The following is a 12,064-nucleotide window of genomic DNA, read 5'->3' as shown; positions in this document are numbered from 1 at the left end:
TGACGTATCTGAAGTTATAGGAAAAAAGAGTTCCAATAGGAAATGACTAAATTTGAAGACTCAAAAGAGACCAAAGACTATGATAATTAGAAGATCACAAGTGACCACTGGCAGAATAGCTTCAGTAGAGGGAAAAAGTGAAGGAGTATAAATCAGTCAAGTACAGACAATCAAATAAATATTGACTGTCTATTCTGGCAAAAATTGTGCTAGGGCTAGGGAATATTGGTGAAGAAAACCAATAAACTCTCATTGAGTTTACTGTCTATTGAGAAATATACATTAAATACTTACAAAGAGGGAAGCAGAAAAAAGGAAAGTATTTTCTTTAAGAATATGAGCTGTAAAAGGAAGAAGGAACTGGAAGAAACAAAGAAGACAGTTTGTTGTTTATTTCTTATAAGCTTATAGAATGTGGCTAAAGTACTAGTAAAGGGAGAGGTTGAAATTATAAGATAAAATGAATAACCAGTGAAGCAATGTCCAAATGGGTTATCCACTTTCCCACCCACCATGTCTAGTTAACTCCTTCAAGTTCATCCTTCAAAATTAGGCTTAACTGTTAACACCCATCCAGATAAGCATTCTTGACACCCTTATCCCTGGCTCCCAGAAACCAGGTCAATTGCCCTTTCCTCTGTACACCTTCTATTAATATCTATTATGATATGCATAGGGTATATGTTTTTAGTTTTTAATAATTTTATTTTATTTATAAAACAAACCTATACCTACTGCAGAACAAAAATAAACAAACAAATCAACACAAAAAAGATAACAAAAATTGCTCAAGTGGACTATTCAGATACCCAGTTGAAGACATTCACTATTTAGATACTCACTTCCTCAAGACCTTCTCTAGAAGATACTTCCTTATTATAACCACATGGAATATCCAAAATAAATGGCTGCTAAGTTGAAGAAGTCTATTCCCTCACCCTAGATGCCTCTAAAACAAATGTACTTCTACCCTGTTGACCACAACCAGAAATTCCTCCAAAAGGAATGTAATTATAACAAACCATATTGGATTGAACATACACATTTATCTCTGCTCTTTTCCAAAACTTCACTAAAATGACAAAAAAGCAAAAAACAAAAAAGTTTCCATCTATGAAGAAAAAGAGAATGAGAGAGGAAACAACAGCTGATGAGAGTAGAGGCATTTCATCAAAGTACAAAAAAATGAAAACAGATGGTTGAGTCATAACTAACTACCCAGAATACAAAAGCTAAAACCTAAGTAACTGCTAAGAGGAACATCAGTAAGAAGCAAACTCAGAAATTAATCAGAAATTGAAGGCAATACTGATGGCTATGTAAAGGCAGGGTTGAAAACAGAAAAGCTAGTTGACAGTCTCCATAAGGAACACTTATACCCCCATTCTCCCTCTATTCTGAGCAGTCAGTCTAGTGCTTCTCTCCCACCTCAGCATGGGAAGCAGAACTGTTCTAAAGAAACTATGAGAGGCTCCAGACCCAGGGGCAGCAGGACTAAAAACAAAGGAATTGAGTAAGTCTACATACGGAACTGTGAGACTCAGCATCAACGTGGACCTATCTCAAATCCCAGAATATTGCTAGCCAGATTTACAGCTTTCAGAGATTAAAAGATTCCTCTGTGGAAATTTTTGGGAAAGTCCCAAAGAAAAGATCTAAAGTTACTGACATTTGGAGAGTAAGTCTCCAACAAAAGAGCCAACTGGGCATCATGCTATAAATAAACCCACTATACAGAGCTACTAATCAGCTCTATAGGGCCTCACTCTTAAATATGAAAGGACAGTTCAGAATCACCACACATTGTGGGAACACCTCTACTATGAAAGAGGGCAAAAAAAAGAAAGTAAAAAACAGAAAAGCATCCAATCTAGATAAAACAAAGACCATTCAGGAAGCAGATAACAATATTTTTACATTAAATATAATAAATAATCTTAGAGAAATAAATGAAACATGACATAAAATCATATGCAACCAAATATAAGACTAACATAAAATATTTGCTTACCATTTACTTTTTCTGAGAAAGCTACTTGAGCAAAATAAGGGGTTTACCAATTAAAATAAAGTCATAAGAGCCAGGAAACAGGCAGAGACTGTTTCACGAGGTGAGGATGAAGGTTCATGGTTGCCACTCTGACACAGGCCTAACGAGCAAAAGCAAAGATTGAATAAAGATGACAGGGGACTTTCCAGAAGGAATATCTTCAAGGGCAAAAAACTGACAGATGACTGTAGTACCACCTGACTTTAACAAAATATATCTATATTGCCTTACAAAAAATTTTTTAAAAATTAAATATCTGATATTTCAATAGAAATGGCTCCCCAATATATTATCTGGAAGTTCAGAAGATGTCACTTATTTTGTCTCTAAGTTATTTTCAAAACCCTCTTCCAAATTTACTTCTTTGTAATGGATATCCATATGAGAAGACAGACTGCAATTCAGAATAAAATCCTGAAAAAAAATCCTTCTTAGAATCTTAGAATGGAATGAAGTTTCATGGAACAAGATATAGTCATTAAGAGAATGGATGCACAGTACTGACTGTGTTCAGATCCCTACTCTGCTACTTAATATAACCTAGGGCAAGTTACTTGATCCCTGTGTTTTAGTCTCTTCACCTCTAAATTAGGAATAGTAATAGTATCTATCAAGTCAGGTTGTTGTAATGATCAAATGATAATCTGAGTAAAGAACTTAGCACAATGTCTGACATGTAACAAGTGTTCAATAAATATCAGCTATTTTTATTATGTTTATTTATGTTATAGGATACCAAATTGACAATGATCCACCATGATTGCTAGCATTACAATCCACTTCTGCCCCTAAAACTTACTTACCACTCAATATACCAATATTATAAATGGGGGTCTATCAGATTTTTAAAAATCTCTTACCTCCAATATCATATAAAAACAAATCCCAGATGAACCAAAGATTTGCACATAAGAAAATGAAAAACAACAGAAAATAGAATAGGGATTTCATATCTTTGTCAATTTTCTTACTCATTCTTGATATCAGTTTCCTTTATTGCTAAATAAAAAATATACAGAAATTATCTGTCTGCTCATTGCCAGTCCTCAAAAATCTATTTCATCCAGATAAAAATAAATGGTAACTCTCTTCTCTAATCAAATTTAGTATGGATGTGACTTTTGACTTTGGCCAAAACTCAGAATCACAGGCAGAAATTTAGGAGGTAAGGTCATGTGATTATAATTTATTCATCTAGATTTTGTTTCTTCGCCTCACCGTTTGGTCTGATGCTTGGTCATTTCAATATCCCTTATTTCTACCCAATTCTGTAAAGTTTTAAAGATAGATTAAAAACATATTTGTAATATATGAAAAGTCATTACCTTGGGTTTGGTATTTCTCCAAGAATCTCATCTAATTTGTCAATGAAATTAATAAAATTAGACAATCCCTTTACATGTGTCCTTAAAGGATCTGATGGTGGTGGTGCATATCCTTTCCCTCCAAGCTCTATTGTTCTAATAAAAGACGTGGCCACCTATGAATTAAAACAAACGGATAAGTTATGTCCAGTGATTTATTAAACTGTAATTTACTTCATAAAGCTAAGTAAATCTATATAATTCTGGGTATACAGTTAAAAGTGAAGCACATTTTATGGCTCATGACACACTTTGAGTCAGAAGTAAATAACCAAAGAAACAAATGCCATGCAGAATTCATGCTAGCAAGTGTGGTGGCAATGACACCCAGCTGCAGATTGAGGCTGAGGAGCTGAGTTAGGGGACAAATTAAGAGCTAAAGTATATTAATTAGAATGTATTATTGACTCTAAAGAACTCATTTATGAATATATTATAATATAGTTGACTACTAGCTATTGAAATTGTTACATGGAACAAGGGAATTTTTAGCGTCAGCTGATCTGTTGTGTTAAACAGGTGAATTGGTTGGGCAATTTAACACTTCCAAACCTCAGCCTCTCTATTTGTAAAATAAAAATACAGACTAGATAATCACTAAGTTACATCCAGCTTTCCCATCCTGGGATCATGTATAGTTCAAAAGGCTTGTCCTTACAATGATAAAAATACATATGTGATAGCTGTACGTAAGTGTTCCAATCAAACATGAAATGTTCCAAGGTACATTCTAAGAAAGACAAATCCTGTGAAATGTCGATAATTTAGGGGAAAGTTCTATGGTCAAATAAATTAGGAAACAACAGATTAAATAACAAGCTTAATTTGCTACAAGCAGATTTCTTTATGGCAGGACTTCTCAGAGCTCTTATATACAATCATGGATTATGTATAACCAATAAGGGTATATACTACTTCTAAACATTTTGCCCTTGGAAACATTTATTCAAAGAACATTTAACAGAAACGTTTTGACACTGGAAACATTTATTCACAGAGAATTTATCAGGGCTAGCACTATACAGAACATATGTAAGGAAACACTGCTTTAGAGAAATTCTCCTTTACCAAACTTGAACGATATGGTAAAAAATTAAAATACCATGGATTTTCAAATACAGAGGTAGAACATAAATTAACCACTTAAAAGTTGTTTCATCCTAGTTACAAGCATATTAGGATACATGGATCCACTGTGCAAGGAGTCTTAATTTTGAACATGTCACACAACCATACCAAAAAGATAGACATTTGTTTCTCTCGAGCAGCATGTTTCAAATCAGTGAAGGCTTCTCTTCCTAGTCCTCTATCAGGAATATTGAGAATATAAGCCACAGCCAGGTCATTCTTTGAATTCACTAGCAGATTTAAATATGAAAAGATAATTTTCCTTGCTAGCAGCTGCACCTGTGCAATAAAATATTCAGTTAATTTCTTTATTGCAGTTCTTCTAAATCCATAATCTTTTTCATAAGCAGTAAAAATGTATGTAATCATTCAATCACAATACCTCACTTAACTCTTTAGAAAAATAAAACTGCCATATAAAAACAGGTTGGGCAATCAATAAACTCCATCTCTCCCCAAATTCTTGACTGACTACCAAATTTGGCAGGCAGAGGGGAGACCTACAAAAATCCAGCTAAAAAAAGCAGCAAAGGAAGACTCAAGAACAGATATCAGCAGTTGTATACCAACATAGAATGGAGACAGAGTATTAAGTTGGAATTCAGGCAAGTCAGTTGCCCACTAGCACGAAAACACAATATTTCTCAGAAGAACATAGAGGAATCCAGAGTTGTTATAAAATATTACCTATAATATCCAGTTTTCATCCAAAAATCAATAAACAAAGAAAAAAGAAGGTGTGCCCCCCCTACTCAAGGTAAAAAGTAGTCAACAGAAATTGTCACCAAGTAGACCTAGATGCTGAGTTTAGGAGAAAAACATCAAGGCAGTTATTATGAATTATGTTCAAGATATTAACAGGAAATATGTTCAATGAATTAAAAGAATATCTGTTACCAACAAATTAACAGAGGGAATGTCAACAGAAAAGTGGACAAAATAAATTCTGGAAATGAAAAGTACAATAAGTAAAACAAAATTTGCTTGATGGGTTCAACAGCAACTTGGAGAGAGTAGAAGAAAGTATTGTTGAACTTATAGACAAACCAATAGATATTATCAAATCTGAAAAACAAAGGAGAACAACAACAACAAAAAAGATGAAAGAATCAAAGGGATTAATGAGACAATTTAAGAGGTCAAACATACACGTAATTGGAATCCCTGAAGAGAAGTGAAAAGAGTAGAAAAAATACATGAATACATTTTGTCCCAAAGCATCCCAAATTTAGTAGAAAACATTAACTTATAGATCCAATAAGCTATTTAAGTAGGAAAACCAAACAAAATGAATATAAACTCTGACAGCCAAAAGTAAGAGAAAATCTTGAGTGCAGCCAGAACAAAATGACACATTACCTACAGAGGAACAATAATAAGGTTAACAAATCATCCAGAAGTATGTAGGCCAGATGATATTGGAACAGTATATTAAAAATGCTGAGAAACAATCTAAATTACTATACGATTACAATAATTAAGATAGAGTAGTATTTACAAAAGAACACTCAGCTCAATGGAACAGAATAGCGTGCAGAAATAGACCAACACAAATATAGCAATCTGATTTTTCACAAATGTGCAAAAGGAACAATGAAGAAAAGACAGTCTTTTCAATAATTGGTGTTGGAGCAATTGGTCATCCATATGCAAAACACATGAACTTCAACTTAAACTTCACACCTTTTATAAAAGTAAACTCAAAGTGGATCATAAGTCTATAAATGTACAACATAAACTATTAAACTTTTAAAAGAAAACATAATAGAAAATCTTCATGACCTGGAATAAGGCAAAGAGTTCTTACATAAGACACCAGAAGCACAATGAGAAAAGGAAAAATAAAAAGATAAATTTCATTTCATCAAAATCAAATTCCTTTTTTTTTTTTCTTTTTTTGAGAAACAGGGTCTTGCTGTTAGGCTGGAGTGCAGTGGCACAATCAGGGCACACTGTAACCTCAACCTCCCAGGCTTAAGTGATCCTTCTGCCTCAGCTTCCCCGGTAGCTAGGATTACAGGCATGTGCCACCACAAGCAGCAAAACGTTTTTATTTTTTGTAGAGAAAAGGTCCCACTATGTTGCCCAGGTTGGTGTTGAACTCCTGGGCTCCAGTGATCCTTCTGCCTTGACCTCCAAAAGTGCTGGGAATACAGGTGTGAGCCACCATGAGCAGCGCAAAATTAAATTCCTTGCATGGAATTTTCTTCCTATTTTTGCCTTCTCAACTACTTCGATCCCACCTTCTGCTCTAGAATCCTGTTTCTAATTCTTATTGTTCCCAAACTGTCCACTTGAAATCATATTCTTGCCTATTCCCTCAGATAACAGACTCACGAATTCTAAACTCGATTCCCACTCAAAACACATGAAATTCAAAAATCCTTCAGTAATTTCAGTCACAACTAATATCCCCGGAATTTATCATCTGTAAATGCTAAGAAAATATTTCCCTTATTAAAACTAAAATTTCATCATATTCAATCTAATCACATGTTAAATTTTTGAAGCATAAAAGAAACTAAAAAAGGCAGCAATAAAAAATTACAAATCCTTAGCAAGCCTCTTAGATAGTTGTTAAGCATATACACCTTAAAATAAATTCAAAAGATAATATATTTTGACTGTTTAAGTTCCCATGCAAAAAACAATTATTAAAAAGTAGGAGGCAGGCAGGGTCAATTTAAAAGAAAAACTTCACTGGACAGGAAAGCATTGCCTTAAATATGGACTCGAGATAGAATTTAAGCAAAATTAATTACAAGAAAACAAAGTTTAAAGATTAACCATGAGAAAGATTTTTTCTTGCATATTAAGTAAATGTTACCTTTTCAGAGATGCTCCCTGATTCCCCAGTCTAAAGTAGACATTCATGTATTCTCTTTCCTGCCATCCTGTGATAACTCTGCATATCACCCTATTATAATTCTCTGCATACTTTTCTTTTTAATATTTTTTTAAGGATACAATATTTCACTATGTTGCCCAGCCTAATCTTGAACTCCTGGGCTCAAGTGATCCTCCTGCCTTGACCTCCCAAAGTGCTGGGATTACAGGCATGAGCCACCATGCCTAGCCACTTTCTGATAACGTTTCTTAATCCTCCTATTACTTTGTGAGTTCCATGAGAGCAAATCATCTGTCCTTAGATCCTAACAGAATGACTCGCATTATAGTAGGTAATCAATCTGTTTTTGTCAATAGGTTCTCAATGAGTTTTCATTCAATGATGAATGAAAGAAAAATTAATACATAAATTTGACTCTTTAAAAATTTCAAAATTAAAAATCTATTAAGAAAAACTTACCTGAGGCTGGGTGTGGTGGCTCACACCTGTAATCCCACCACTAGGAGGCCAAGGCAGGTGGGTCACTTGAGACCAAGAGTTCAAGACCAGCCTGGCCAACACAGCGAAACCCTGTCTCTACTAAAAATACAAAAAAATTAGCTGGACGTGGTGGCACACACCTGTAATCCCAGCTACTCGGGAGGCTGTGGCACAAGAATCACTTGAACCTGGGAGGTGTAGATTGCAGTGAGCCAAGATAATGCTACTGCACTCCAGCCTGAGCGACAGAATGAGACTGTCTCCAAAGAAAAAAAAACTTACCTGGGATAAAATAAATGCCATATTTTTTATTATGGTGCCTTACAAAGAAAGGTATTCTAAGTCACAACCAAATAAAAATAAGCTTTAAGGCTTCTCCTAAAATTTTATAAAATAATGTATAATATAGTTTTCTGATTATATATATATTTTTTTTTTTTGAGATGATGTTTCCCTCTTGTTGCCCAGGCTGGAGTGCAATGACACGATCTCGGCTCACCACAACCTCAGCCTCCCAAGTTCAAGTGATTCTCCTGCCTCAGCCTCCCAAGTAGCTGAGATTACAGGCATGTGCCGCCACGCCTGGCTAATTTTGTATTTTTAGTAGAGACGGGATTTCTCCATGTTGGTCAGGCTGGTGTCAAACTCCTAACCTCAGGTGATCTGCCTGCCTCAGCCTCCCAAAGTGCTGGGATTACAGGCGTTAACCACCATGCCCAGCCTCTGCTCATATTTCAAATGTCCTTTTATCTTTACTTTCACAGTAAATCACAATACTTCTATTACACAAGTCTATAATATGAGTTTCCATTTTAACTTCACAGTGCAATAGTCTAAGACACAATTCTTTGTATTCCTTTGACATCTGAGAAGAATAACACAATTTACCGAAAATCAAAGCAGAGAAAAAGTGACATTCACATTGTAATCAGAAACTTTTCCTACATTTAACTTAATGCAATCTCTATGTCACTGTGCTTCTGCTGTTCAAAAATAACAAGAACTTAACAAATATGTATATACCTGATCCTAATTGGGTACAAAACCAGGGCTTAAGCTCTCACATCTACAACTTGCTCTTTAAGGTTAGCAAATTTTGTCCTTCTGATCTGTGATGTTGGGCAAACTTCAGGGAAAAACATCTTGGAGTCCTCACAGTTAGAGTGTTTCTTTTAGCTCATGGCTGCAATTGGAAATCTATCCCTCTTATTATGGTCAGATAACATGGCTGTTATGGTTTCCTTGCTCTTGTATTTACAAGTGAGTTTTAAAGAGGTTCCCTGGAAAAGCAGTCCACATAAGTATAGTTATGATGTCCAAGAGCAAGGGCCTAAATTGAAAACATCCACAAGATTGAAGCCTTTACCAAAACACCAAAAATAAGGATACTGTTCTGTTTATTTGTTTAATAAACTGATTATATCCATACCACAAAGTATTTGCAATGTTTGTTTAGAAGCTGGACAATTTTATTTAAGCTTTCTGATAATTCCAAGTTTCTTTTCCTATCTCTTCTTACTGAGAGGCAGATATTCAACCTCAGTTTGAAGAAAGTCAGTTTTTCTAAGCTGAGAAGATTAACAATTTATACAGGGTCTTTTTTTAACTTTTGTTTGCCAATGCATAAATGCTTATATATACTGACAAAAAAAAAGTTGGACAAAAACTAAGATACTTAGTAGATTTTTTTTTTTAACTGATGATTTTCTTTTTCTGGCCTTTATTCTATTATTCCCTTCATTACTTCAGAATTTTAAAAGCAATGGTTTAGTACCTTAGGAAAAATAAAATGAAGTAAAATAAAATAAGGAAACAAAAATATTGTTTCTCAAATTCAATCCATTCACCTACTTGAAGACTGGTGTCATATTAGTAAACACATTTGATGGTCAAAATATTTCTCTGCAAGACTGAAGCCCAAAAATTCACATTAGGATTTTAATTAGAGCTACATTGACTTCCAGCTGGGTGCGGTGGCTCACGCCTGTAATTCCAGCACTTTGGGAGGCCGAGGTGGGTGGATCACGAGATCAGGAGTTCAAGACCAGCCTGGCCAACATGGTGAAACCCTGTCTCTACTAAAAATACAAAATTAGCCAGGCGTGGTGGCACGGCCTGTAATCCCAGCTGCTCAGGAGGCTAAGGCAGGAGAATTGCTTGAACCCAGGAGGCGGAGGTTGCAGTGAGCTGAGATCACACCACTGCACTCCAGCCTGGGTGACAGAGTGAAACTCCGTCTCAGAGGGGAAAAAAGAAATACACTGACTTCCAAAAAGACCTTGTAAAAAGAAAAATTAGAAACTGCAAGTAACAGAAGCATGGTTAGGAAGATGGCTGCCAATTTAATACTCCTCAGAAAATCAAATCCATTAGTTGAACTAGTAGGTAAAATTCTATTAGAAAATATAATCCAAGAAAGCAAAAGTTAGAAATTAGAGAATTAACACAATGAAACTATCAGTGTTGTTTAAATCAGGAAACTACATGCTTATAATCTTTAGTCACAGATACTCCTTTAAACTTTATAAGCCGAAGTTCTAAAAGCTTAATTCTTTTCACATATACAAATTGGTTCATTCCTCTTTAAAAATACAAATATAACAATTATAATTTCCTCCCTGTAGTACATACAGGATAGATAAAAGAGATCTTTAAGTAATCTACCCTTTTGATACACAAATACACTGCTTAAGCGCCACCGAGAAAAGATCAGGCAATTTGGCAATCACTTTGTCAAGATTTGGAGCATCAAGGGAAAAGAAAGGAAATGTAAGTGAAAAATTAATTTCAAGCAAGAGAAAATAGTTACAAATCTCTAAAAGGAACCAGGTCTGGGCAGGAAACATTCAAGGTGGGCTTGGGATATTTTCTTGTACCAGAAAAGAGGAAAATGCTTGAAAAGTCTACTAGAGCATGTAAAAAAGACACAAAAACCTGCTTGAAGCAGCTTCCTCTATTTTAGCATCAAAGATTAATGAGTGTAACTCATTTTAAAACAGTGAATAAATATAAATTCATGAATCCAAACAATAGACACACAAAAAGGAGAGCAATAAAAGAATAAATATCTAATTTGCTTATATTATATATAACTATTACACTAACCCCTAAATTGGTAGAGAATTGAGGAGTTACCCTGAGATTTTTAGAGAAGGGTACTTCATCTCATTTGATAAGATAAAGCTTTATTGAGAAATGGCAAGTAATTAATGTAAAGACATAACAGAATTAGAAGCTCACTATTCTTTTTTTTTTTTTTTTTTTTTTTGAGATGGAGTCTCGCACTCCCTCCCAGGCTGGAGTGCAGTGGCACCATCTCGGCTCACTGCAAGCTCCCGCCTCCCAGGTTCACGCCATTCTCCTGCCTCAGCCTCCAGAGTAGCTGGGACTACAGGCGCCCACCATTACACCTGGCTACTTTTTTGTATTTTTAGTAGAGACGAGGGTTCACCGTGTTAGCCAGGATGGTCTCGATCTCCTGACCTTGTGATCCACTCGCCTCAGCCTCCCAAAGTGCTGGGATTACAGGCGTGAGCCACCGTGCCTGGCCAGAAGCTCACTATTCTATAGATACTACAGAAATAACTGATTCAAGTCAGGATCATCAATGCTTAAAACCATTAGATAAAAGGTTATTGAGAAACAGGATTATTTATACAGTGCCAAAGTGTCACCTCACAGATCTTTGCTGACAGCAAAGGAAAAACTACATCTTTGTACTGGAGAGACCTGGCAATTCAGGATAACCTGAGTTTGTTTCCCAATAAGATATAAAATGAAATACTCTGCATCAGTTAAGAAGTATTTCTTAGGAAATATTAAACCAAAATCTAAGCAAGATTTCAGATATCACTTCCAGTTTATTGGAAATACAGCAAATAGAGAAACAAGTTAAATAATACCACAAGGAATTAATCAGAAAATTAAAAAAAAAAAAGATTAGGGGAATTCTTCTGGAGTAAAAGAGTCTAAGGAGATATAAAACCATTTTGGGGACAAATGGAGAAATTTAAATATGGAAGTTAGTAAATGATATTTTAAAATACTTATTTAAATTTTCTTATTTCTTATATTGCGGTTATGCCATTACTTTTAGGAAATGTACGCTAAAGAATTCCAGGGACCCACATGTCAGCAACTTACTTTCAAATAGGACAGAAAAAATATCAGATGCACATATAAAACACTTTATTA

At 35.0% G+C, this 12,064-nt stretch overlaps 1 protein-coding gene across 83 annotated transcripts in view, besides 1 other annotated feature; it reads right to left on the bottom strand.

The window, feature by feature from the left end:
- PARPBP (PARP1 binding protein) overlaps window positions 1-12,064 on the bottom strand; it is a 77,338-nt gene that overhangs the window by 28,262 nt on the left and 37,012 nt on the right. For 49 of the 83 annotated variants that reach the window (XR_007063095.1, NM_001400870.1, NM_001319993.2 and 46 more), the window contains 2 exons: window positions 4,651-4,821; window positions 3,376-3,530 (listed from right to left, as the gene is read on the bottom strand). The exons of 1 other annotated variant lie outside the window; for it this stretch is intronic. Coding sequence is in view for 79 of the 82 variants with exons in the window: in NM_001400870.1 (NP_001387799.1) it covers window positions 3,376-3,530; window positions 4,651-4,821 (326 nt within the window). In the remaining 3 variants the exon portion in view is untranslated. Of the gene's footprint in view, window positions 1-2,011; window positions 2,151-3,375; window positions 3,531-4,383; window positions 4,822-12,064 lie in introns of those variants that run through there. 33 more of the 83 variants (NM_001400925.1, NM_001382721.1, NM_001400873.1 and 30 more) reach the window with 6 other exon arrangements.
- Window positions 1,234-1,363: an enhancer, noted in NCBI's record as "active region_6880". NCBI's record gives its function as "activates an Ori minimal core promoter by ATAC-STARR-seq in GM12878 lymphoblastoid cells {active_cell/tissue: GM12878}" and the evidence as "EXISTENCE:reporter gene assay evidence [ECO:0000049][PMID:35858748]".

This window comes from Homo sapiens, chromosome 12 (assembly GCF_000001405.40).
Source record: "Homo sapiens chromosome 12, GRCh38.p14 Primary Assembly".
In the NCBI taxonomy this organism is placed as follows: Eukaryota; Metazoa; Chordata; class Mammalia; order Primates; family Hominidae; genus Homo; species Homo sapiens.
Note: the sequence above shows the minus strand (reverse complement) of the source record. Positions and strands in the feature narration are given on the sequence as shown.